The sequence below is a fragment of the Homo sapiens genome, chromosome 12 (genome assembly GCF_000001405.40).
Source record: "Homo sapiens chromosome 12, GRCh38.p14 Primary Assembly".
Classification (NCBI taxonomy): Eukaryota; Metazoa; Chordata; class Mammalia; order Primates; family Hominidae; genus Homo; species Homo sapiens.
Window position 1 is genome coordinate 132,482,158 of NC_000012.12, and position 26,300 is coordinate 132,508,457.

Sequence of the window (26,300 nt, forward strand, 5' to 3'; positions counted from 1 at the left end):
ACACATTCCCCTTTTCTGTTTCTGTTCTCTCCAGACCCCAGCTGGAAGGTGCCACCCACACTGAGGGCAGGTCATCTTCACCTCCGCCACTCGGACACACACTGCAGTCTCCTCTGGAAACACCTGCACAGAGGCAGCCAAAAATCATGCTCTGCAGGTCACCAGGAGCTCCCCAGCCAGTCCCATTGGCCCTGGGAGTGTCCCAGCCCCCTCATGTCCGGTCCCATTGGCACGAGAGCATCCCAGCCCCCTCGTGTCCAGTCCCGTTGGCACTGAGAGTGTCCCAGCCCCCTCGTGTCCGCGATGGCCGCACAGCCCTTCCGACATTTGTGTACCTGTCCCCACGTTAAATGCCTCTCTGCCTGAATACAGACATGTTTTTGTTTCCCCAAACTGATGCTGTCACGTTGCAGCCAGAGGCCAAATCCATAGGATGCAAGTAACAGAACATCCAACAAAGAGCAGCTCAAACTGTACGGACAGCTACTTCCCGGATGAAATGTCTGGAGGTAGCTGGTCCAGGCCGCCAGCTCCCCATTCTGTTGTCTCTGTCTTTCTGCCCCACTGTGTCAGCACGTTGGCTCTTCCTCCTGGAGCTCGCTGCCTCATGAGTGCAAAAAGGCTGCCACAGCTCTAGGGAGCATATGCTCACAGGGCAGCATTCAAAGCCAGGAGTGGGGCGAGTGGGCAGGATGAAAAACGGATGACATCTTTGTGTGTCCTTCTCTCTTCATCACAGAGGGGCATCTTCCCCAGACGCCCTTGCAGACATTGCCTTATACCTCACAGGCCTGGCTCACCCATCCCCTGGTCTCACATGGGGAAACACAGTCACCCAGGCTCCAGCCGGGCATGACTCCTCCCTGGGGTGGATGGGAGCCCTGCAGCTGACCTGCAGAGCTGAGAAGAATGTGAGCGCTCACGGCCGCAGACACTGAGATTTGCCATCGCTGGGACACAGCAATGACTGACAGATGCGCCCAGACCTAACTGGGACCTAACCTGGAAATAACCGGAACATAACAGGACCTAACCCGGACATAACCCAGAAATAACCGGAACCTAACCCGGACATAACCCGGACATAACCCGGACCTAACCGGGACCTAACGCGACATAACCCGGACCTAACCGGGACCTAACCTGGACGTAACCAGGACGTAACCTGGATGTAACCCGGACATAACCAGGACCTAACCTGGACATAACCTGGAAATAACCGGGACCTAACCCGGACACAACCTGGACATAACCGGGACCTAACTGGGACATAACCCGGACATAACCGGGACCTAACCAGACATAACCCAGAAATAACCGGAACCTAACCCGGACCTAACCCGGACATAACCGGGACCTAACCAGGACATAACCGGAACACAACCGGGACATAACCTGGACATAACCAGGACGTAAACCGGACATAACCGGGACATAACCGGGACCTGCTGGGCATGGGAGGTGGGAACAGCTCGGGCCCAAGAACCAACAGTGTGGCACAAGTAGCAGAAAGGTGTCCAGAGAGCTGCCCGGGCCTCAGAGACTTGTGTGGGGCAGCCGGGACACGATGTCCAGAGAGCTGCGTGGGGTGGCCGGGACACTGCGGGGAGGTGGGTAGGTGGGGTGCAGACTCGAGCCCCGGTGCTGGTCCAGTGAGGCAGGTGGGCCTCAGGTGGGGACCTGGCCCCCTACGGTGTCCGTTCCCATCTAGTTTTAGGGCCCGCCTCTGCCTCCTCAGTCTGTGGTCTCGGTAGACCGAGGCCTGTCAGTCACAGCTTCACACCCCCGAGCTGCAGGGACTTGGCGGCCTGAAGATCCCATTCAGAGAGGACTCGGGACTTTGCTCAGAGCTTCATAAAATTCTATTTTTCCTGTCGACATTGAACCCCTTAACTCCCCACTTAAAGCTGAGGCTGCTGGAACCCCTGTCCCTGAATCCAGCCCTGCCTGAAGCCAGGGCGTGTCGGGAACCCCAGCGGGTACGGGGTGCTGCCTGAATCCAGCCCTGCCTGAAGCCGGGGCCTGTCAGGAACCCCACGGGGTACGGGGTGCTGCCTGAATCCAGCCCTGCCTGAAGCCGGGGCATGTCGGGAACCCCAGCGGGTACGGGGTGCTGCCTGAATCCAGCCCTGCCTGAAGCCAGGGCGTGTCGGGAACCCCAGCGGGTACGGGGTGCTGCCTGAATCCAGCCCTGCCTGAAGCCGGGGCCTGTCAGGAACCCCACGGGGTACGGGGTGCTGCCTGAATCCAGCCCTGCCTGAAGCCGGAGCCTGTCGGGAACCCCACGGGGTGTGGGCTGCTGCCTGAATCCAGCCCTGCCTGAAGCCGGGGCCTGTCGGGAACCCCACAGGTACGGGCTGCTTTGGGTTTGCATTTCTGCCACTTTCAAGGGAAAGAGCCCAAGCTAATCCCGGCTGCTTGTCCCTGGCCTCTCCTCCTTCCCACAGCCTGACCCCACACCAGGCTGGGCACCCCACTGCAAGGGGCAGACTCGGGGGCCAGGGCCTGGCACAAGGACCCTCCTCCCAACCTGCAACGTCCCTTTCTGGTGTGAGCACCTGTGCAAGCTTGTGCACTCTCACACTGCACACGGAGCATGGCCAGCTGAAACACTCTCCAAGGAGAGCCAGGGAGTGGCTGCCAGGAGAGAAAGGTAAGTGTGGTAACGGGGAGAGCCAGGCGCATGGGAGCTCACGGACATCATGACGGTGACATAGCGTCCTGAGGAACTGACTGGGAGACTCCAGTGCTCCTGACACAGACTGGGAGGGGCAGTGGCAGGAGGTGGCTGGAGCCCACGGTGCTGCAGGCCTGGAACGGCCCAAGCCCGCTGAGGTGCGGGGACAGGGGGTCTGCAGCAGTCACACGACGGCAGGAGTGTAACCTGGCTGCTCCGTGTGGCTCCCTCTGCCTTCTGCATTCCACTCCTGCTTTCCAACATGCCTGCTGGTTTTCTGTGGTCAGCCCTAACCCAGAGCCATCTGGCGATGAAAATTCTAAGAAATTCTCTGCTGCTCAGCAGGGCCCACCTCACGCAAAGCCACCATCAGCCTCAGGAAGGAGTGGCATTGGGTTAGGGCTTGGGGGAGAGGGAGGGTCCAGGGGAAAGGACGGCAGGTCTCAAGCCCCTGCGGAGGGAACACGCCTGCTCCCCTGGGTGAACAGGGAGGGGGCGGCCCGCAGAGCTGCAGCAGGCTCGGAACCAGGCAACAGCACATCCTCAGGAGCAGGATGACTGGAAGGGGGCACGTTGAGGACTCCAAACACTCAATTGCCTTGACATGTGGCTCAAGGCACATTCTAACTGCAATGCCAGGAAGAGGCCACCTGACTGGTGTCACCTGGGTCACCTGCATGACAAACTGAGCCATCACACCCCACCAGAGCAGAAAGCACGACTTCTCTGCCCCGTGGAGGCTGGTCCTAGCCTTGAAACTTCCTTGACAGACACAACATGAGGCTTCAAGCACGGGCTTCTCCTAGGTTTATATGGCTCTGCTCAGCCTCCTGAGCCACTGAGGGAGAATGAACGCCTGCATCCCACAGAAAGAGGCCAGTGGATTATAGCTGGGCCTAACCAAAGTCCAAATGAAGAAGCAAAGCCCCTCTTGTCACCCTGCAACCCTGTGAGCAAGGCATTGTCACTGAGGGCCCAGGGGCTGTTTGTTACACAGCGTTCTCCAAGCAAGAGCTGACTGACGTTCCTTTGTTCCTTTTCTAGGGGAGCATGGGGCCTTAGGACCTGCTGTGTCACCAGACGGCACCCACAAGAGCAGACTATGCATCCAAAATACACTGAGGTGCCATTACGGGAAGGAAGAGGGGTGCATGCGGAGGGCTGGAGCTGACAGCCGGCTCACAGATGGGGCTGGGGGCTGCAAGAAATGGAACATACTTTCTACTTTTTGGCTGTCACCCCACAGGCAAGTTTGAAACCCAAAGGGCAAATGGCTTAGCTGATTTATAGAGCCTAATTTGGATCCGTTGCCCCAAATTGAATTTTGAATACAATTTCACATCAATTAACTTTGCACAGAGCCTTACAGATGGCAGGGAAGGACTCTCTAAAGCAAAGGCCAGTGGCTACGATGGAGGAGCTGATGTGCCATCCCGGAGCCCACCGATGCTCATAGCACCACTCAGGGCTCTGACCCGGGCGGGTTGGAAGGATGAGAGCTAAGGGGTGTGACGTGAGCAGGAAAGGGACCCGGGCTGGTTGGAAGGATGAGAGCTAAGGGGTGTGGCGTGAGCAGGAAAGGGACCTGGGCTGGTGGTGGGGCCAGAGAGCTGAGCCCTAGGGGCTGGGAAGGAGTTGTGGGCAGGAGCTGTGGGCCTCCAGCAGAGTGGAGAGAAAAGGGGTTTTGCTGGCAAGAGCTGGGGAAGAGGGTGGGGAGGGGCTGGAGGGCTTGATGAGCACCCACCTACGGCCCTGATTGTACCAGGGCCCTGACTGTGGTGCATTCAAACCCATGGTTCCCAGAGTGTGGTCCCCGACCAGCCCCAGAGAACCTCAGACGTGAGGGGTGGGGAACCCTGGGGTGGGCTCAGCTGTGTGTGCTCACACCTCCCTCCCGTCGTGGGTCTGAGGCCTCCATTGACTCACACACCGATTCACACACACCCAGGGGCTTTCACACCCCCGACGGCGGGACGCCTCATCGCCACGCCACCCCCACTTTATAGACGGGACGATGGAAGCACGTTAAATCATTTGCCCAAAATATTCTAAGTGGGTGGCACAGCTGAGGCTGGGGCCCAGGCGAGCCGGTCTAGAACTTCCCTGTCCAGCATGGTAGCCACCAGCCCCACAGGCTATTATATTTTAGATTAAAGTCTGTAAGTAAAATGTATAATCCAGTTCTTCAGCTGCACTTGCCACACTGCAGAGGCTTGAGCCACTCGTGGCTGGCGGCCACCGTCCGGACAACCCAGCCATTCCCTCCACTTCCGAGCTCTGCAGGCCACTGGCCTGGAGGTCTCCTAACCGCTGCAGTCTCTACCTTCCAAAGCACCCCATCCTGCCCGGGGCAAGAGAGGGCAGATGTGTGAGCACACAAACTGAAAAACCAAACAAGCACAGGAGGTCCAACCTGCACCACACCAAGAAGTCAGTGGGAGTGTGGGGGGTGGGGTTCGTGCTGCAAGCTCTGCCCAGGGCCCTGGCAAGCCCCAGGGAGGTTCGGAGTCCTGGGTGGGATGTCCGGTCACTGTGATGCGTGCTCCCGGAGACACACAGCCCGGTCCGCAAGCAGGCAAGTACGCATCTGTCAGAAACCACCCCCAGAACCACCCCCAGAACCACCATCCCTCCCAAGGGCTTCCCATCCAGCACGTAGCCCAGCTGCTTTCTTCTGTAAGAGAAGGTTCCCAAAGCAAGCCCTCCCTGGGGAGCACCTGAGCCCAGAACTCCAGAGACGGCGGCTGGTCCCTGGGGAGCACCTGAGCCCAGAACTCCAGCATCGGCGGCTGGTCCCTGGGGAGCACTTGAGCCCAGAACTCCAGAGATGGCGGCTGGTCCCTGGTTGGCCATCTGGACACCTGGAAATGGATCAAAGGAGAGAAGGCACCTGGGGACGCCTTCCCCAGGACAGCCAGGGAAACCCGGGGGGGAGCCCAAAAAGGAAGCCCCTGAGGAGGTCTACAGAGCCCCTGCCCTTCACTGGGGTCACACATCTGAACATCTTCGGAGATCAGATAAACAAACAGTGTATGTCTATAATCAGAAACTTCAGGCTGGGCACAGTGGTTCACGCCTGTAATCCCAGCACTTTGGAAAGCTGAGGCGGGTAGATCACCTGAGGTCAGGAGTTCGAGACTAGCTTGGCCAACATGGCGAAACCCCATCTCTACTAAAAATACAAAACATTAGTCAGACATGGTGGCATAGGCCTGTAGTCCTGGGTACTCGGGAGGCTGAGACAAGAGAATGGCTTGAACCCGGGAGACGGAGGCTGCAGTGAGCCAAGATCACGCCACTGCACTCCAGTCTGGGTGACAAAGTGAGATCTGTCTCAAAAAAAAAAAAAGAAAAAGAAAAAGAGAAAGAAACTTCAAATCCAAAACCTCAGACCTTCCCAAGCAATTCTTCTGGGGGGGAGGGGGTGCCCACAGGATGCCCCTTGCAGTCTGACTGACCTCTGGGCCCAGCCTAGGGTGGGATGGCCTCTGGGAGCCTCGGGGAACAGGTGAGGACTCCCAGGCTACTTGGGAAGAGGCCTGTATTTAAACAAGAGCCTCAAATGCCACCTGGGTGACCCTCGCCCACATTTCCTGGCCTTCTGTCCAGGGAGGGGAATTCGGGAGCAGGCGTGCATGGAGAAACTACTCGGGGTCCGTTTCTGTCTTCCTAATGAGGCTTTTAAAAATCAAAAGGGAGGATGCTGGAGGGTGAAACCACGGTTTAACAAAACCCGGAATGGGAAGAGGGGGAGGGGGACCCTGCCCCCACCCTGGGGAGGCTTTGACAGGGAACCAGAGAGCGGGCTGGGTGGACTGGAGGAGGCTGGGTGAACAGGAAGTCCCCCCACCCCAGTGAGCTACTTTCCCAACTGCCTCAGCCCAGCAAACAGCCAGTGGTGCCTGGACCACACCCTTCCTGCCCTGCACAAGAGGCCGCCAGTAGGCTCTCCCAGAGGCAGGGTAAAGTGGACCCCGCAGAGTGGGCGAGGACCCGTTCCCACTAAGGGCAACCGAGGGCAGGGTCCCACCACTGTCTTGGGCACCCTCCCCTCCGCCCTCCAGCAAACCACCATTCTTCTCCGAGGGCCTGTGCAGGGGTGTAGCCCCGACCTGAAACAGGGTGCCCATGACTGCTGGGGCTCGGAGTCGTCACTCCTCGGGGAGGCCCTCTGGACCACCCAATGCCCACTCTCTGTGACACCTCCCCGTTCGATTTTCTTCAGATTATCCTTGGCTGATATTCTATTTGGCCCTGTGTTCAGGGTCTCTCTCCCACTTCTAAGAGGGTAGTCTATCTCAGCCGCTGCGGGGTCACCAACAGAGCCTGGACACAGGAGGCATCTGGCAAATACGCGCTGCATGAATCAATGACTCCAGTGCCCACGCGCAAGGGGCCCCTGGGCTCAGAAAACCCCACCAGGCGGGCCCCTCCGAGCTCGGCCTGTCCTGGGGGTGGAGGAGGAAGTTCGCCCCGCGCCTGCCTCGCAACCGCAGCCGCCTCCGTGCGCTTCCTGCCCGCGCCGCCCTCCACACTGCGCTCCGTGTCTGGCAGCAGCCCCCGCCTCGCTGGGCGCGTTCCCGGGGGTCTCGGTGGCGGGAGCCGCCTTCTTGTGGGACTTGGGGGCACGTGGCGCGGGGCGGGGACGCGGACAGACCCCTCCCGCATCCTAGGAGGCCTGGGAGGGTCCGCGGGGACGCGGGGAGGGGGCACCGCCTGGCCGAGGACCCTCCCCCGGTCCTCCCCGCCCCTTCCCCGTCCCTTCCACGCTCGCCGAGGGCAGGACTTCGGTTCCGCGAGACCGGAGGCCCCTCGTCCTCCTCGGAAGCCGCCCGCGGCCGGGGACCCCAGTCCCGCAGAGGAGGGCGGCGCTGCCCCCGCCTCCCGCTTGGAGAGCGCCGCCCGCAGGTGCCCACGGAGGGGCCGCGGCATCCCAGCGCCCTCCCAGGAAGGAGCCGAGCGGATCACCGCCGGCTGCAGCGGAGGTCGGGGCGCCGGGGAGGGGCGCGGCTAGGGGGCGAGGTCGAAGGGCGGGCACCTGCGGGTGGGGCGGGGCCTGAATTAGCGGGAGCGCCCGGGAGGGGCGGGGCCGGGGCCTGCGTGAGCGGGTCGGGGAGGGGGCGGAGCCTGCGGGGGGCGGGGCCTGCGTGAATGGGGCGGGGAGGGGCCGGAGCCTTGTGAGCGGGGCGGGCCGCGTGTGCGGGGTGGGGGCGGAGCCTTATGAGCGGGGCGGGGCAGGGGCGTGGTCGGGGCGGGGCGCGCGGGCGCCCGCGGCGGCCCTCACTTCCTCTGGCGAGCGCAGCCGGGCGGAAGTGCGTCAGTTGTTATCTGTTCGGGGCGCCGCCGCCGCCTCACGAGCCCGGTGCCCAGGAGCCCGGCCGCCTCCCGCCTGCCGCCTGCCGCGCCCGCCCGGCCCCGCCCGCTCGGCCCGATCGCCGCGCCGCGCGCATGGGGCGCGCCCCCGGGGGGGCGGCCGAGGGCCGCTGAGCGCCGGGCCCGCCCCCGCCGATGCGCCCAGCCGCCCGCGCCGGGGGTCCCAGGCCGCGCCGGGCCCGGGGCTGAGCCGCCCCCCGCGCCCGGCATGCCCGGCCCGGCCCGCCGCCCGCCGCCGCCCAGGGCCCGAGCCCGCGCGGCGCACACTCAGCCCGGCGGCGCCGCGTAGCCGAGGGAGCCCGCCTGCTGCGAGCCAGGCGCGGGGCGTCAAGGTCACCGGCCCGACGGGGCGCACGCGCGGCCATGGAGGCCAAGGTCCGCCCGAGCCGGCGCTCGCGCGCGCAGCGGGACCGTGGCCGGCGCCGGGAGGCCGCCCGCGACGCCCGCGCCCAGAGTCCGTCGTCGGGCGACGAGCCCGAGCCCAGCCCCGGCAAGGAGAACGCGGGCCTCCGCGGCGCGCCCCCCCGAGGCGCCGCCCCCGCGCCCCGCACCGCGCGTCCCCCGCGCCGCCGCCGCCGCGAGTCCAGCTCGCAGGAGGAGGAGGTCATCGACGGCTTCGCCATCGCCAGCTTCAGCACCCTGGAGGCCCTGGAGGTAGGTGGACGGGTGCGGCTTCGCAGGCGTTGAGGCGAGAACGGGGCCCGGAGTTGACGCGTCGGGCGATCCCGGGACCCCTGGGCTTGCGACCGCCCGCGCCGTGGGCAGCCCTGAGGGAAGCCCCGGCCACTTGGTACCCGTTCCAGGGACCCTGGGTGCCCACCGCTCGCCCAGACCGTCGCATCTGGAAGACCCAGCAGCGTCGGGTGGGTTTGGGGACGTTTTAAGTTGCAGAGGCAAAAAAATCTACGCTTCGAAATTGGGGGCTGTCTGACAGCACCGTCGGCCTTTTATCAGTTGTGTTTCTGTGGCCAGCATATCGCTCTGCCTGGTTCAGGACGTGCTAGGGAGCAGTGCTGGATCTTAGGGAGGTGGTGATAAAATGGATACTCCGCGGGCCATCCCGTTCCCTCCTCCCTTCGAGGGCTCTGCTGAGAAGGGGAGAAGGAGGGTTAATCTCAAGACCCCTCTTGGTGACTGCTGCCTGCTGCATGGTTAATAGATTGGCCAAAAATATTGCTTGTCTGGCTGACGGACAGTATTTGCTGAGCAAATACTGCTCCTCTTACATGAACTCAGCTGAGCAGAGAAGGAAATTAAATGCTGTCTGAGAGTTGGGGCAGGCGCTGTCTCCCCAGGACTGGCATGGGCAGGAATGCTAGCAAGTTGCCCTGCACCAGGGCCGAGACCCGCCCAGCGAGGTGTGCCCCGTGCAGCACTTACTTTGGGGGACCCTCATCTGCTGGACTTTGACTCCCAGAATCACCCCATTTCCAACCCCTCTCACTTTTCCAGGGGCTTGGGAGCCCATGGCCTGGGATCCCCCAGTCTCAGAAGCTGAGCTTTGGGAAAAGGGGAGATGCCTACTGCAGGCCCCTGAAGCAGCAAGTCCTCTTCAAGTTCTCATCCAAACTCTGGGGACTGTAGAGAGCCTTGGGTCAGGGCCGGTGGCCAGGGAAGTGGCCCCAGAACAGGTGCCGCATCGTGTCCCGAGTGCACAGTCAGAGCTGGGGCTTCGTGTCCCAAGTGCACGGACAGAGCTGGGGCTCCTGTGGGCCCAGGACGGGGTGGGTGGTGGCCAGGCTCATCACACAGGCTGGCCATCCTCTGTCCTGCACATTATTAGATGGCTCCAGGGCTGGCACACGCCATTGCTCTGTGCTGGGACGGGATGGCCCTGGGGCTGTCTTCTGCCCTCTCAGTGGTGATAATGACACAGACTGTACGTGTACTGAGCAATACTGCAAGCCAGGCCCTGCGCTCGGCTCCTGCACTGCAGCTGAGACCACGAGGATGCCCACTTTCCAGAGCTGTCGCCACCCACCTGCACCTCCTGGGTCCCTAACCGCGGCTTCCTCACTGCTCCGAGCGGGTCAGCCCTTGTACCCTGCCGTTCTCTGTCTGCTTTATGTTTGGTGCCATTGTGTCTTTGCAAAAACGTCACCTCAGACTCCTCTGAAGTGGTGCCCCCCACCCCCGTCGACGTTGCCCACCTTCTTTTTGTCATCCCCACTCTGCAAAGCTGTTTTAGAATGTCTTTGCTCTCCATTTTCGTCTCCCACAAGAACTTGTAAGCTGAAAGAGAGCAGACACTGTGCTGTCCTGTGTGTCTCCTATGGGGTCTGGTGCCGGGAAGAGCTCGATGTGTAGAAAGTGCCCCAGATGCGTGTGTCAGGAATCTGAGTGAGGAGATGAACTGTACTCAGGAGATCCAGGGCCAATCCCAGGCCCACGTGTTTTGCCCGCAGCGGCTCTGACTGGCTGTCCACCTGCTCTGGCAGGGTCACGTGCCCCCAGCCTGCAGGCAGTGGGTTCAGTGGGTTTTGGTGACTTCGGCTTAGACCAGCTGGCCCCTCAGGTCATAGTGAGACAAGTCTGCTGCTGCGTGGCGTTAACACAGCCACAGCACCCCAGGGTGGTTTCATGTCCCTTCCTCTGCCCTTCGGAGCCTGCCTGGGAAAGTACGGGGCTTCTGCACAAGTCATAACCTCGTGATCATCCCATACGTGTCTCTTGGTTGTCTACATTTTTTGCCAAAGTATGGTGGTTTTTCCCCAAAGTTCAGATAATTCATAATTATATCAATAGTAGTGACTGGTTCAGTAAGCATTCTCTCCATCAGGCAGTGTTCTGAGCTGCCTTTCACAGACATCAACTCATTTACTCCTCAAATGACCCACGAGGAGGGCTGGATGCCCCCATTCCACAGATGGGGACCTTGAGGCTCCCCATTGAGGCAGAGCAAGAGCAAGGAGCACTGGGTGCCACGCCTGTCCGGCCTTAGAGTGAGCGGGCGCTGCCCTGCGAGGCCACCCACACGGGACACCGAGGGAGATGTGGCCACCAGGACCCAGCCCAGAGGCACAGCCTGCCCTTGGCTCTGCCGCCTTTGCTCACAGTCCCTCTGCCCCCACCCGCGTCTTGAGGGCTCTTCCTACTCTGGGATGCTGGAGGATGGGACGCTCAGGAGTTGGAGGAAGCCCTTGTAACCCCAGAGGCTGGCTTGTGCCCGCGGGACACTGCAGTGGTATAAACAACCAAACACAGGTGTAGACTTGCCGGGGAGGTGCAGCCTGCCTGCAGGAGTCCTGTTACCTCACCCCAGACCCCACACACACTGGGACCAACTCTCGGCCCCAGCCCTGGCCCCTGGGGCAGACCCCCACTCGCAGCCCCTTCTGACCCCAGGCAGACCACCCTCTCCGCCTGTCTGAACAGGCACCCCTTGCCCTGTGCCCGGGGCAGGTCTCTGTACCTGTTTTGTGCCCCCGGCAGGTCCCTGCCCCTTTTCTGTGCCCTGGATGGGACACACAGGCTGTTCTGTGCCCGGGGCAGGCCCCCGCCCCCTTTGTGTACCCTGGGTGGGACACATAGGCCGTTCTGTGCCCGGGGCAGGCCCCCAGCATCTGCACATTTATATGTGCTCCTGTAGGGGAGGAGGAGTCCCCGCTTGTCCTGGGCCTGTGTGTGCTGTGAACACAGCAGGCACTCCCTAAATGGTGGTGGTGGTGGTTGTGGGCTGAGGAGGGCCAGGGTCTGGCCTGGCTCAGGGTGTGCCTGCAGCCCTGGAGACAGCATTAATGATTAACTGCCCATAGAGATGGGAGCCCTGTGGCAGGGCTGAGGACCTGCAGAGGGGCGTGCTGGGCTGGGTGTGCTGGGGTGGGTGGGGCGGCGCGGCAGACCTGAGCCAGCCCCCGCTTGACTTTCTACTCTGTAACCAGGGGCCGTGGTATGTGGGGACAGGAGGCCTGAGGAAGCCCCGCTGGCCTCTCCCCTGCTCTTGTTCTGACCGGGAACTCTGGGTGCTTGGGAACGTGGCTCTTGCTGTCCCTTTTGTTTCCTGTGACAACTCTGTCCCCTGGTTGTACTGACCAGAGGACACTGGAAGCCCCCTACCCCTGGAGCAGTGCTGTGGCCATACGTGCCTGGTCAGTGCTGCTGTTCTCTGCCTGGGGTCCTCCCAAGAAGACTGGGGTCTGAGAGGTGTATCCAGGGCTGTGTCAGACCCCATCTTCCCACATAGCAAAGGCCATCCTTATCTGGCCTCAGGCCACAGAACAGGTTGTGCCGGTCCCTGTGTCTCCTGGGAGATAGGCCAGGCCTGCTTAGCCCAGTGGGCTGCACCGCCCACTCCCACATGCTGGCCGCTCGGCCCCAGTGACGCTGGCCATGGTGCTCTGGGCTGCGCCTGGGCCACAGGGAGGTGGCAGGGTGCCCAGGAGCACATTGGCCACTAGCTCCAGGCGGACACCACCATTCTGGTTTGGTGTCTGTGATTTTTGGTTAATTTGCATTTTTCAAACAGCAAATCACTTTCACCTGGTGACTTTCACTTGGTCCACACGTCAAGCTCCATAAGAAGGTGCGTGCTGAAGCTTGAGCTGTTCCCTGACTGGCACACGGGCCACGCAGAAGGTCCACGTGTGTCCCAGGAATAAAGGCGGAAGGAAAGCACCCAGCCTCCTGGCTCGGTGGCCAGCGGTCTCCTCTAACGCCTGTGCTTCCACATTCTCTGCTCAGCATAAACCACAGGACATGCACCCAAAATGCTGCTGAACCTGCACAGACGGTTGTGCTTAAGAAACCCCAGGCTACTGATCGTGTGCGGCCCCCGGCCTCCCAGGGCTGTCTGTGGGCGAGCTGTGACCCCTGCTGAAAATGGCCCAGAACCCTGGTGGGCATAGGGTGTGAGCCTGGAGCCGGTGGGCCTTGGCCAAGGGGAGGGTACAGGTTTTGAGACACGGCCCGTCGTGGGGAATGTGAGGGTGTGAGGGACTGGCCCAGACACTGCCCTGCCCTGCATCCTGGAGGCTGAGCCAGGTGGTCTCTCTGTGAGCCCCTAGTGGGCCTGGTGGGCTTCACAGAGGGGCCAGGGTTCCAGGAGCAAGAGCCCAGGCATAGGATCTGGGCTGGAAGTGTGACCTGGCCATGTGGGGGCGGGGCTGGGCCCGGCCTGCCGAGCACCGCGTGTGGGGCCTGACAGTGTCACTTGGACCTCCGGGGACCGCTGAGGCCACACTGTTGGTGGTGCCAGTGGGGGCTGAGTTTGCCAGGGGCACTGTGAGTCCATGCCTGGCCCATCTCTCAGATGGTGGTGGGGGCTGAGACCGCAGACATTTGGGTTCAGTGAGGAGAGCCAGGGAGAGGGCAGGCTTCGGCCCAGGAACTCCTTGTGGCTGCTTCCTGGTCTCCAGGTGGGGAAACTGAGGCACAGAGAGGGGAAGTGCTTTACCCACAGCCATGGGGCAGGGGTGCGGAGCTGAGCCGGGGCCTGCCCTGTGACAATGAGGGGCTGCCTGGAAGCTGCATGGATTCCTGTTCCTCCCACAGAGTCCCACAGCTGTGGGCAAGGGCTGCTCCCTCCGGGGAGGTGGACTCAGAGGCCCTGAAAGCAGCGTCGCTGGCCCCTCGGTCCACGTGGGTGCCCGCCACCTGTCCAGGCCCTGTCTGGGGGCCAGCAGCTCCTCAGGCCCTGCCATGGCTGGAGCAGGGCTTGCACCTGGCCTGCTTTGGCTCTGGGAAGGGTTCCACGTCCTCTGCCTGTGCTTCTGCCCCTCACGGGCCCCTGCCCAGTGGCTTGCTGGCCTCGGGGTCGGGGCTGTTACAGCAGGAGTCACCGGCCCTCTTCCCCATCCCCTCCCTCCCGGCTGCTTGGGCCTGTCAGTTCTTGGCTCAGGTTTCCAAGGCCTTCCTGTCCTTGCCGTGGCTACGCCGCGTGCCTGCACCTCCGCACGTGCTGCGCACCTTCGCGTTTGGGGCCTGGTGCCGGCTGCCCTTTGCCTGGAGGGGTCTCCCGGGGTCCCTGTGAGTCACCGCACAGTCCTGCAGCAGGGAGTCAGACCCACACTAGACCCTCCTTCCCCACTAGGCTCTCGTGCCCCAGCTGTCCTTACGGGGAGGTCTGTCGCCAGACGTCCGCCATATCCCGCCTTTGTGTGATTGCTTCTCTGGAGAAAGAGAAGTGCCCAGAACTGGCCCTGCTGTCTGTGGCTGGCAGTTTTAAGGCTCCTGATGGTTGTGAGGGTCTGTTCCCTGCCGAGGGGCCCGTGTTGCGTATTTACCCGGGCTTGTGTTTTTGTCACTCTGGAAGCCTCGTTTCACTGTGTTTTCTGGCTGGTTGTTGCTGTTTGTCTTCCCACCTGACATCTCTACCTGGGTACTTTGTTGGATTCCCTCCTCAGCACAGGCAGTTTCTAGGGGACTCTTAGGGGGTTGTCATTGGCCCTGCTGGCGTCTGCACATGGCTGTGACGTTGCTGCTTCCCTGCGGCTGCGCTGGATTTGTGAGTGTGTCCAGAGCGTGAGGATTGGTGTTGCTGTTTGTGGGTATCTGTGTCCCTCCCTCCTTCCCTGTTTCCCCACATTCTGATGGGCGCTCTGTCTTGCACGGGACGCATCTCTGGTCCAGCATCAGGTAGGGGTGACCCTGCTCACCCAGCTTGTGCCGCCGCCCCGCGCTTCCTTCCCAGGCCCTGCGGTGTCCTGTGTTGCGCGGGGCGCGTCTCTGGTCCAGCATCGGGTAGGGGTGGCCCTGCTCACCCAGCTTGTGCCGCTGCCCCGCGCTTCCTTCCCAGGCCCTGCGGTGTCCTGTGTTGCTGTCAGGCTGTCCGTGAACTCCGGACGTGGCCCTGGCGGGCCGTGTTGGTGGAGTCTCATTTCGGGTTGTTTGCCGACGGTTCGGATTTTTGCCACCCTGTTTCTAGTAAAGTTAGTCTGGTAGTCTTGCTTCCGCTGGTTTTGCTGCATTTTGGTTGGGAACTTTTCATTTTTTTCTGTAACGTCAAAATGGCATAAGAATTTATCACTTTCTCAGCACCTGGACAGAATACTCGGGTCCCAGCACTCCAGCCCATTTACTGGTGACCAGTTAGAGACCCCAAGTCAGCATGGTTTGGGGTGGGGACACGGGTAATGAGGGAGAGGTCATGGGACCACCTCGCTAGGAGTGGAGGCTGGGGGAGAGGAGCCCGGGGTGGCCTGGCTGGCTCAGGAGGGCCCTCTAAGTAGGAGGACCACAGAGCTGGCCCAAGGTCCCAGGGCAGACCCAGTCTGGCTGCCCTGAGTCAGAGGCAGCCACGGGAGGAGCCCAGCCCACCTGAGTCTCCAGGAGTCCCTGAGTGACCCCTGTGTCCCAGGCTGCCCCCTCCCTCCGGACTCCCCCTCCATACTCCCCTACCCAGATGGCACCAGGACCCCCTCTGGCCTCAGCTCCTGCTTTCAGGAGCCCACGGGCCTGACCACCCTTCAGTGCCCCCAGGCCTCCTGCCCCTGTCCAGATGAGCTGAGTGAGTGGCCCCAGGCTAGAATCCAGGCTCTGGGCCTCGGGACCCCTAGGGCGCCGCCTCACACCTGCTGAGGCAACCCCGGGCTGGGGATCTAACCCTTCTTAGTGGCCCGGGGTCAGGCCCTGACTCCCGCCATGTGGCCCATGACAAAGCCATTTGTCCCTAAAGAAGGGTGAGCATGTAAGCAGCCCCCAGGTCCCTGAGGGAGGGCCAGGGCTTGTGGCGTGCGATGTGTGTGTTTGTGCCACGCATGTGCCTCCCCTAGAGACCCCTCGGGCCTGGTGTCCTCCCCGGCCCCACCCCAGGAGTGTATGGCATCTGAAGTGGTCGTGTGGCAGCAGCTGGGAGGCCCATTGCTGAGCCTGGCCTGCACCCCTGGGAGAGCTGGGGGGCCCGTCACAGCCTGGCTGGCTGCACCCCGGGAGAGCTGGCCCACAGGGCCTCTGGGGAGGGTGCCTGCTGTTTCTTTGGGAGCCTGGGGAGGTGGCTGGCAGGGAAAGCCGGCCGTCCAGATCTGTCAAGCCCCACAGCTACGTGCCCCCTGTGTGGGTGTGGGTCTCTCTCCGGGCCCCTCGCTCACAGTGAGGCCTGTGTCGGGGGCATGGGGCCGGGGGCTGTGTTGGGATGTGACAGCAGTCGGAATGTTCCAGTGGGGAGGCCTGCGGGACCCACAGGCCCCCAGCCACCCTTGCAGAGGCGCCGCAGCAGCTACCTGCCTGTCAGACACCTTCTGGCCAATCCCGGCTGGAGGCTGAGCTACAGGCTGTCGAGGACCGCAGCAGAGTGGATCTGTGGCTGCCGACCCCTCCCGGCCCCTAGCCCTCCACTCTCATCCTACAGACCCTCCAGGGAAATGAGGAGGATGGGCCATCCCCACACACCTGTCCTGGGCTGCCCCCACCACCCCCATGTGGGGATGTGGGTCATGGAAGTCTGGGTTCTCCTGCTCTACAGCCTGGAATGTCCAGATCCCCTGGGAGCTTTGGGAGGTGCCGGGGCCCCTTGAGGTGCTACTGCACAGGGCCCCCCATCCTGGTCAGCAGGCGGCCCTGCGTGGGCCTTGCAGAGCTGGGTGGGGCTGTGCTTGGGTGGCCACCAACCTATTCTAGGGGAGGGAGGTCAGAGGCTGAAGAGCCATCAGGTGCTGGTGTCCCCGTGGGCCAGGACAGCTGGAGGCGCAGCTGCAGCTACCCTGTGTGATGCGTGGAAACTGAGGCTTGGCCATGGTACTCACCCCACTGGGGGCTGGGCAGAGAGGCCGACAACCCCAGCCAGGTCCCGTGGCCACCTGCCCATGCTCCCGTCTGCTCAGCGGGCTTCCTCTGCTCTCACCACGGCAGGCTGGGCCCCTTCTGCCTGTGTATGTGACCAAGGGTACCTGCCACCTCTGCTGTCCCCTGGGACAGTGCTCTGCAAGGCCTCCAGGAGCTTGGGTGGCCAGACTGGTCCCTGGGACTGGTGGGCCTCATCCGGCCTCGGCAGCCGCCCCGCCCATTCCAGATCTCTGCTCTGCCCAGGTCTTGATGCTGCACAGTGGAGCCTCCAGGGCCGGCCAGGCAGGGATGGTGCCGGGCAGGGGTGGTGCCGGGCAGGGGTGGTGCTGGACCTCTGGGAGAGGCCAGGTGAGCCGCTGGCCAGCAGGGAAGGGCCAGCCAGGCAGGGGTGGTGCTGGGCAGCAGTGGTGCTGGACCTCTGGGAGAGGCCAGGTGAGCCGCTGGCCAGCAGGGAAGGGTTCTGAGCTGTTCTGCTTTCCCTGACAGACTTTATAAGCATTTATTGAGCACCGGCTGTGTGCCAGGCCCTGGGCCGGCCCCCAAGATACACCCACAGGCCCCATTGCCAGTGAGTATTGGGATGGCAGTAAAGAGTCTGTCGTCGAAGGCTAGGAGTCACAGAGGAGGCCACGAGGGCTTCTGGGGAAGAGTGCAGGCTGTGAGGGGCAGCACCGTGGCGTGGCGGTTCCCGAGAGCCCGTCAGGAAGGGCACATGTAGCAGGTGGTACAGGTTTGGGGTGCCGGTGGCAGGCAGGCTGGAGACAGCTGGGGGCTGTGGCTGGGGGGCTGCAGGGCTGGGGGGTGGGGCGCTGCGCAGCACCTAAACTCCGTGAGATCAGGTGCTCTGGGGACTCAGGGCAAATGGGGTACTTGGTTCCACGTACCTGTGGAGGACGGCAGGCGTCCTCAGGAGTGTGAGGGACAGAACGGCCTCTGAGCCCCAGCTCCGTTGGCGCAGCAGAGCTGTGCTGATCTGGTTTGTGAGCTGGCCTGTGGGGTGGATGGGGTTCCCCAGAGCTGTGCTGGCGTCAGGGAGGAGGCTGGGTGGGCTACTGGGCTCTCCGCAGCCCAGACAGGTGTGAAGGTCTCCACGCCCGTCTTCCCGGCCCACGTGTGTACCATGTACGTGCACCCGGGACCCTCTGGCCGGAATCCGTGGTGTCTGGCTCAGGAGGCGCCGGCACTGCCCTCTAGACTCTGCGGGAGCCATCAAGCGTCTGGGGCTGGGAGCCGCACGCCGTGACCCTGCCCCACTGAGGCCAGAGGGACACCTGCCCAGTCTGTGGCCGCCACCTTCCCTCTGTTGAGAACTTGGTCCTGGCTGGCGGCTTTAGGGAGCAGAGCAGCCGAGTGTGTCCCAGGCTTACACCCCCACTGTGGGTGCTGTGCTGTCCCCATGCTGCACATGAGGAACCTGACGCACAGAGCCGTGCAGTCACTTCCCGTGTCTACACTGCTGGCGAGTGGCTGAGCAGGATCAGAACTCAGGCAAGGGCTGGAGGCTGGGGCTGCCCCTCTCTGGCCTGGGCTCATGGGGCCGGCCTCTCTGCTCCCTGTCCTCTGTCCCCCATAGGGCCAGCCGGTCCTGCTGTGTGTCCAGACCAGCCTCCGGGGAGTCCTGGCCCTGTTGCCATCCCCTGTCCTGGCCCCTCCACCCACCCAGTCCATAGTTTCCTGAATCCGACCTCATCCAGCTGCTGTCCTGCCTGGGAGCCCAGGGCCCTGCAGACTCCATCCAGCCCGGGACAGCCCATTCACACCCTTACAGGGATCCCAGGCCCTGCAGACTCCGTCCAGCCCGGGACAGCCCATTCACACCCTTACAGGGAGCCCAGGCCCTGCAGACTCCGTCCAGCCTGGAACAGTCTGTGTCCTCACAGGGAGCTCAGGCCCTGCCACAGCCCCACCCTCTCTAACCTCTCCTGCCGCAGTGTCCCCCACAGCCCTTGGCCCCTGCCCCAGTTGCTGCTGCTCATACCCCAGCAGGCCTCTGGCTGTCCTCGGCCAGACCCTCATCCCATGCCTCACTCGCCTGCCCCTCACACCCTGTCCTGTGGCCGGCGTGGCTGCGTGCCTCTCCCCAGGGACCATGTGGCCAGGAGCTGGGCGGGGAAGGAGCCCAAGGGGCCTGCAGCCACTGCCAGGGAGGGGACCCTGATGTGGACCGGGCCCCTGACGTGGACTGGACTGGGTGGGGGCTACATTGGTCCCCCTGCAACTCTGCTCCCTGGGGCCCTGAGGTCAGAAGTGGGTCGGCCTCGTGGTCCTGTTCACTCTGGGAGCCCAGCCCCTACCAGCCCCTAGCCCCAGGGGTCGTCAGTTCTGTGGGCACAGCTGGACTAGAATTCCGGGATAAAGCTGGGGCCGAGCGGCGGCTGCCCCTGTGGTCCTCGCGCCCCAGGCCTGTGGCTTTAGCGACACCTGGCTAGCGTGGGCCCGGGCCGCCCTCCCCATGGCTGAGGAAGAGGCTCTGTGTGTCCCAGGCTGCTGCGTGGGATCGCCAGTGGCAGCTGTCAGCAGGGGTGATGGCCGGGGGAGGGGCTCCCAGGGCCAGGAGCCTCAGAGACCAGTGTGGGCTGACAAAGCCCAGCCCCAGTGGTTGGTGCGCTGGGTGCCCTCACTGCTGTCATGAGTTCACAGGGGCCAGTGTGGGCCATGGAAATGAAGCCTGAGCCTGCCTTCCGCTCGGGGCCCAAGGCCTTGGACAGGAGTGAGAGGGGCTGCCGTGAGCAAATGCACGGCCCATTCCTGTGCAGGGGCCAGTGAGGGGAGGGGCCAGGACAGGGGCCTCTGGAGAGGGTGGGACCCCAGTGGTGGATTCCTCGTCCCAGCAGCGCTGGCCACACAGCAGGGCCCAGCATGCAGGGCGGCTGAGCAGGAGCTGGCGGGGAGCAGGACACCCAGGCCCGTGGCTCCTCTCCTTCCTTCGACTGCCCAGATCTCTGCTCACAGGGTCCTGCCCTGCGTCCCCCCTTTGGGGACAGCCTCACCTGCCCGGTGTCTCCAGCACCTGGCTTCTTTCTGTTGTCTTCCTCTAAATCTAAATCCAAATGACTTGCCTTTCCTTTTATTCTTTTCGTTATTGTGAGGAAGTCTGTTTGTACAGAGAGTGCATGGACGGGACATATGTTGGTTTTGAAGAGGTGACCTCCCGGGTCTGAGTGATGCGTCCCACTCAGTGTGTTGACCACCATCCTGATGCGTCCTCATGCCCCAACCTGCGGCAGCCCCGCATTTCCTTAGGGACAGAGGGGGCAGCTGCCTGCTTTCCCCCACCTGCCAGCAATGGTGTGGTCCGTCCTTCTGGGGGCCCTTCTAGAATCCTTGGCAGACCCCACTGGTGGCCGGGGCAGGCTCCAGCCCTTTGTCACCTCCCTCCTGGCAAACTGCCGCCCTGGGCCATCTTCCCTGGTGCCACCTCAGCCCTCCACCCCCGGCCCTTATGGCCACCCAGAGGAATCCTGCGGAAGGCCTTTGGTTTGAAGGGTGAGACTGCGGGCCACAGCCAGGTGTGATCCGTGGTCTTCCAGTAAATCGGAGCTGGAGGGAGGAACGTCCGAGTGCACAGCAGGACTGACCTCCAGGCCTGGCACGTGACAGTGGCCTCCCAGTCGGGCTGGTCAGAGGGTGACTGGGCAGCCTCTTTCACCCTCCAGGCTCAGCCCCTATCAGACGGTTCTCCAGGCGTGGCTGGACTGGAACCCTGGGATAAAACCAGGGCCAAGCAGTAGCTCCACTGCAGTCCTCACACCAGCCTGCCCCTTACACCATCCCCCACCTCCCTGCTTCAGGCCTCGAGCCCGCTATCCCCATGCCTGCCTGTCCCCGCCCCCTCCTGTCCCCGCCCCCTACCGTCCCTGCCCTCTCCTGTCCCCGCCCCCTCCTGTCCCCGCCCCCTCCTGTCCTCACCCTCTCCTGTCCCCGCCCCCTCCTGTTCTCACCCTCTCCTGTCCCCGCCCTCTCCTGTCCACCTGCCGTGCCCCCTGCATTCACACCCGTCCTGGCACCACTCCATCCCAGGCAGCACTGCTGTTCTCCATGACACCGTCACCAATGGTCTGGGTCTCCGACTTGTCTGCAGGTAGCTCTTCCCGGCCCGCACAGGGCCAGGCCACAGCCTCCATAGCTCCCAAGGGGTGGAGTGCAGCAGTAACGGCCAAGCTGGGCCTCACAGTGCCCCGCCTCCCACCCCACCCCCCAGGAGCCCTGACCCTACCTCCTTGCCCCTAGAGTGCAGCCACATGCCCTCACTGGGTGCTTGGGAATGTCAGCCAGCCCCGAGAGGCAGCAGCCACCATGCTTTTGGTGGTCCTGCAGGGGCAGCCCAGCTCCCAGCTGCTGGTCCGTTGCTAGGCGAGAGCCGCAAGCCCGCAGGACCACATCCTGGAGGCCATAGGAGCAGCTGGGCACGACCTGGAGGCCTCTGGAACAAGTGAGGTGTCAGTGAGGCTTGCCGGGGCAGTTTCTGTGGGTGCGTGATGTGGGGTCCCCATCAGAAAAAACCGGCCAAGGCGACATTGGACATGGGACGCCCTGGGCGGGGGGAGATGTGGGGGCTGTCGCCCACCAGGTGAGTGTGAGCCATGGGGGAGATGGGTCATGGTGGGAAAGGGTCCCGTTCCCACCTTCGCAGCTGGAGGGGTAATTAGACCCAGTCCCCACACGGGGCCATGGGTGGGCCTCCCTGTAGGGTCTCCTGTGCCAGTTTCTGTTCAGCTTTTGACCCAAGGCAGAGAGGATGTCGGGGCACAGGCCACCACAGGTCCCGGGTATGGGAGGCAGCCATGCCAGCTGGGTGCTGAGCAGATTTTCAGGTGCTCTGCAGGGAGAGCTGTGGGGTTTGCACACAGACTGAACACAGTTGAGAGTCAGAGGCTCTGGGCTTTGGGCCTGAGCTCTTGGAATGACAGAGACAAGCCTGACGAAGGTGTGAGCCAACAAGGTTCTGGGAGCCAAGCAGCTGCAGCCTCCCTCAGCCTCCTGCCCCCACTGGAGAGCAGCTTCCAACCCATCCGAGAAGACCCCTGGGGGCTCCCTCAGCCCCCTGCCCCCATGGAGAGCAGCTTCTGACCCATCTGAGAAGATCCCTGGGGGTTCCAGGCCTGACTTTGCCCAGGGGAACATGGTCATCACTCTAGGTGGGAAGCAGAGGGGCCTGCCAGGGAGGTGAGGTCTTGGGTAGGTGGTTCTCCAGAGCCTCCTGCCTGGTGCCAAGGAGGGGAGAGGCCCTTGCTGTGGTTTCAGGAGCAGGGCGTGGCCACCTGGCTGCAGGGGGTGGGCCAGGCCTTGGTGCAAACAGGCAGCCCCGTCCCAAAGAGGGGCAGCAGGGCTCTGTGTGTGCTGAGGTAGAATTATTTTATCTCTCCGTGTCTGGTTCACTGTAGCGTGATTAGGAATGTTATTGGTGCTGTATGGTAATGACATTAAGAGAGCCAAAAGCAGTCGCATAGAATTGCTACAGGAAAATCTGTCTAGCAATGTCACGGCAGCCTGCGCCCAGCCCTGGTGGTCCTCCTGGGAGAGGAGCAGGGAGGTCTGGGGCCCTAGCCACTACTGGGGGTGCTGGCGCCACTGCAGGGCAGTGGCGTTGCGCAGGGAGGGCCTCCACCGCGCCTTCTTGGAGGGCCCCTGTGTGCGCAGGTGTGGTGCCACGGGTGCTGACCCAGGTGTGCACTGCACACCTGTGGGGGGTTCAAGGCCTCCGCTGCCTCAGCCTAGCAGGGGTTCCTGCAGCTGGGACAGTGGCCTGAGGCGGCCCTGGCTGGCACCCCAGGGCTGGGCTGGGTGGTGGGTGGTGCTGGGGACAGCTCCTGGAGCCTTTCCAGGCCTCTCTGTGTCTCTTGTGTCTTCATTCGACACTGGGGTGGTCACTGCGACCAACTCATGGGGTCCTGTTTGTGTGGATTAGATAAGCGGGGCCCAGGCCAGGCACGGTGGCTCACGCCTGTAATCCCAGCACTCTGGGGGGCTGAGGTGGGCGGATCACCTGAGGTCAGGAGTTTGAGACCAGCCTGGCCAACATGGTGAAATTCTGTCTCTAGTAAAAACACAAAAAAATTAGCTGGGCGTGGTGACCTGTAATCCCAGCTGCTCAGGAGGCTGAGGCAGGAGAATTGCTTAAACCCGGGATGCAGAAGTTGCAGTGAGCCAAGATTGTGCCACTGCACTCCAGCCTGGGCAGCACAGTGAGACTCCATCTCAAAAACAAAAAGATAAGCGGGGCCTGACCCACCACTTAGCAGAGCACCTGGCACAGACCTCACTGCGGTGAACACGATGAAGTGGGTGAGCGCGGCCGCTGCTGGTCTCCTTGGCTTGGTGCAGGGCCCCCACCCGGAGCTCATGTCACTTCCCCATGCGAACCTTCTGGGCCCTTCCTTCCACGGAGCCCAGGCATCCTTGGGGTGTGGTGGTTGGCACCGCCCATGGGGTGGGGCTGTTGCCTAGCTTACAAATGAGGACACTGGGGCTGCCCAGGGCACGCACTGTCCCTCAGTCCCTGGGGACTGCCCCCCGTCTGGCCTGGACTCCTGTCCCGGCCCCACCCCCACCCGTGGTCTGCCCCAAGGGGAACTCTGGTCCTCACAGGAGCGGGGGTGACCACGCTGCTGCCTGTCATGGTGGCCTTGGACGGGACGCTGTATGGTCTCTGAGCTGCACCACCAACCCCTCAGGTGTACGTGGAGTGACTGAGCGACTGGGCAGAGTGGGGTGTTGGGTGCAGCGGTGGGGCTGGCAAGGGCCCCTGCCTGGGCCTCCTTGGTCGTGCCTCTCTCAGCAGCTGGGCAGGGCAGTGCTGTGGCGTTGCTGTGGGGCCTCTGAAACCTGCCAGGCGAAGCCCACAGGGCCAGCCTTACCCTGGAAAGCCCCGGAGTGACCAGCAGAGGGGCCAGCCGCACGGCTCTCCCAGGCCTGGGTACCTTTCCCACCGTCTTAAGGTAGCAGGCGAAGCGCTGGCTGGCATCTCAAGAGCAGAGTGCTGGGACAGCCCTCCCAGAGCTTCCTGGGAATGGCCTCTGTTCTCTGCAGTGAGCGTGGCTGCAGTGCTGGCTGGGGGTGTGTGGGCACAGGGGCTGCGCCTGGAGCCGGAGATGTCGGAGGCCTCTCCTCCTCGGTGTGGGCACCCACCCCATGCTGTCTGTTCTCTAGAATGTTCACTCAGCAGCACTTGTGAGCCCTGTCTGGGGCTGAGCAGGGGGCAGGACAGATGGACATTCTGGTGGGGGTCAGACGGGACAGGAAACTGCCTTGTGCTTGGTGTGACTGTGGCCGGGGTGGGGAGGGAGCTGGAGGGTGGGTCTGTGGATGGGAGGAGGGGCCGGCAGAAATCTTTATATTTTTTTGAAAGCAGAGTAACACTAGAGCAGGTTTACAGAAAATGTGGTAAATTTAAACAATTTGCCCTTGACACATGCGTCCTTCTGGCCAGCTGTGAGCACTGTGGCAATGGGGAGAGGTGTGGAGCGGGCCTGGGGGAGCGTCTGTGCCCCGAGGGTACCACCCGGTCCCGCCTCCTCAGATCTGCCCTCTGCCTGTCCCCTCTGACTCTTTGCCCAGTAGAAAGACAAATCCCAGCACAGTGGTGCCCTGCGTGGCAGGCTGCCCTTGCAGGTTTCCTAGTTACTGTGAAAGGTAACACCTTGATTTGTTCCTGCTTTTGATCCAGCGCTGCAAACAGCCGTTCTCTGGGCTGCAGCCTTTGATTCATCCAGGCTGAGACCCTCAGAGCTCACTGGGAACCGTTTCTGCAGTGTTAGCAGATTGCGTCCACAGCTGCCTGGGATGGGCAGCCCTGACAGATCCTGGGTGGGCGAGCAGGAACTCTGGAGGCCATGGGCTCTCGGGCTTGTGCAGGAGCAGGCCGCTCACAGCAGGGCTCTGGGCCTTGAGTGGTGGCTCTGCAGAGAGCATATGGCGGGAGCTGGGCCTCGGGGAGGCAAGGAGTCTTCCTGGAGCCGGAAACAGCAAAGAGTTGGAGTGACAGGATCAGCCCTCGTGGGCAGGGGGCCCGGAAACGCTGCTGGGCCTCTCAGGGCCTCCAGCTCAGACTGGTGGGGGTGGCGCTTGTGTCATGGGGCGGGCGCCCAGCCGGAGAGGGCGTGGCCGGCACCACCATGGCTCTTGTCTCTGTCGTCTGCCCTTACCGGAGGGACAGCCAAGGTCCTTCTCCCCAGGGACACCATGGCTCTATGCGGGGGCGGGTCCTCCTCGGGGACACTGTGGCCCTCCGTGGGGGCGGATCCTCCCCAGTGGCTTCCCAGGGTTCTTGGCAGCAGCTCTGACATGGGTTCTGTCCTGGGCTTCACTGCTGCTGTTTTCCTCACAGCTGTGCCCTCCCCGAGAGGATTCTGTCCTTTCGTGGACGCTTCTCCCTGGCCGGCTGGCTCCTCTGGACCCTAAACTTGACGCGCCGTATCTGTCTGCACCAGCCCTGGTGCCAGGAGCTGAGCCAGCATACAGAAGGTGCTTACTAGTGGTTTATCGAGTGTGGAGGTGGGGACCCCAGAACCTGGGGCTGCCCGATGTCCACCGGCAGGGCGGAGGCTGGAGTGTCCTGGGGCTGTCCGCAGGCTAGAAGGTGCTCTGAAGGAGTCGAGATGGGACGAGAGGGGACCAGGGGAGGCCAGCAGGTTTACAGGGGGCCTGGGGGTGTCCCCAGGGTCTGGTAGCCCAAAGGTGAACACGGGGAAGCATCTCTGTCCCAAATCCACAGACCCGTCTGGGAGCACTGGCCAGAACCCCTCAGGCCCTCTGGAATATGGTGTCACCTGGGGGAGCACTTCCTGTGGGCTGTCACCTGGGGGAGCACTTCTTGTGGGGCCTGGGTGTCCCCTGGAGAGGCTCCTGTGGTCCCTGGCCCCCACTGCAGGGCACTCGCTCTTGAAAGGTAGCCCTGGTCTCAGCAGGGAGGGGCAGTCCTGGGCAGCCCTGGGCTGGCCTCCTGTGAAGCTTACTGGAGACTCCCTGCTGGACTAAGCTTTTTCTCGTCTGGCCCCTTCGATGGCTGAGCCCTGGGAAACTCCCATCCCCCATCCCGCAGCAGCATCTCACCTGCCATCGTCCTTCCCCTCCCATCCCCCGTCCCACAGCAGCCATCTTCCTTTCCCTCTGAGGTGCCCCTCCCAAGTGGGGAGGCTCCTTCCCAAGAGCTGCTCAGGTGGGTGCTGTCCTGGGCCCAAGGCCCTGGGGTCCCGCCAATTAACTGGCGTTTCCCTGTCTCCCTGCAGAAGGATATGGCCCTGAAGCCACATGAGCGGAAGGAGAAGTGGGAGCGTCGTCTCATCAAGAAGCCCCGGGAGTCGGAAACCTGCCCCCCTGCGGAGCCCAGTGAGAACAGGCGGCCCCTGGAGGCAGGCAGCCCCGGGCAGGACCTCGAACCCGCCTGCGATGGGGCGAGAAAGGTCCCACTGCAGCCCTCCAAGCAGGTGAGCAGGTCCCTCCCCGACCGGAAGCTCTGCGGCGGGTCAGTGCTCACCGCCCCAGGGCCATGCCAGCACCTGGACACCACGCCACGTGGCCCCCGGGCCTGCCT

General features: G+C 62.9%; 1 protein-coding gene across 24 annotated transcripts in view, besides 5 other annotated features; it reads left to right on the plus strand.

Moving 5' to 3' along the window:
• Positions 6,955-7,084: an enhancer, noted in NCBI's record as "active region_7380". NCBI's record gives its function as "activates an Ori minimal core promoter by ATAC-STARR-seq in GM12878 lymphoblastoid cells {active_cell/tissue: GM12878}" and the evidence as "EXISTENCE:reporter gene assay evidence [ECO:0000049][PMID:35858748]".
• Positions 7,275-7,344: a silencer, noted in NCBI's record as "silent region_5119". NCBI's record gives its function as "represses an Ori minimal core promoter by ATAC-STARR-seq in GM12878 lymphoblastoid cells {active_cell/tissue: GM12878}" and the evidence as "EXISTENCE:reporter gene assay evidence [ECO:0000049][PMID:35858748]".
• Positions 7,475-7,924: a silencer, noted in NCBI's record as "silent region_5120". NCBI's record gives its function as "represses an Ori minimal core promoter by ATAC-STARR-seq in GM12878 lymphoblastoid cells {active_cell/tissue: GM12878}" and the evidence as "EXISTENCE:reporter gene assay evidence [ECO:0000049][PMID:35858748]".
• The window catches only part of FBRSL1 (fibrosin like 1), a 95,038-nt gene continuing 76,731 nt past the window's right edge, over positions 7,994-26,300 (plus strand). For 21 of the 24 annotated variants that reach the window (XM_011534807.4, XM_005266176.5, NM_001367871.1 and 18 more), the window contains exons 1-2: positions 7,994-8,704; positions 25,996-26,193. In XM_011534807.4, the coding sequence (XP_011533109.1) occupies positions 8,414-8,704; positions 25,996-26,193 (489 nt within the window). In that variant the 5' untranslated portion in view covers positions 7,994-8,413. Of the gene's footprint in view, positions 8,705-23,248; positions 23,445-25,094; positions 25,232-25,995; positions 26,194-26,300 lie in introns of those variants that run through there. The other 3 variants (NR_168498.1, XM_011534812.3, NM_001382742.1) reach the window with 2 other exon arrangements.
• Positions 9,082-9,645: an enhancer, noted in NCBI's record as "H3K4me1 hESC enhancer chr12:133067825-133068388 (GRCh37/hg19 assembly coordinates)". NCBI's record gives its function as "activates a minimal SCP1, AML or CMV promoter by ChIP-STARR-seq in naive H9 embryonic stem cells {active_cell/tissue: H9 hESC(naive)}" and the evidence as "EXISTENCE:reporter gene assay evidence [ECO:0000049][PMID:30033119]".
• Positions 10,359-10,428: an enhancer, noted in NCBI's record as "active region_7381". NCBI's record gives its function as "activates an Ori minimal core promoter by ATAC-STARR-seq in GM12878 lymphoblastoid cells {active_cell/tissue: GM12878}" and the evidence as "EXISTENCE:reporter gene assay evidence [ECO:0000049][PMID:35858748]".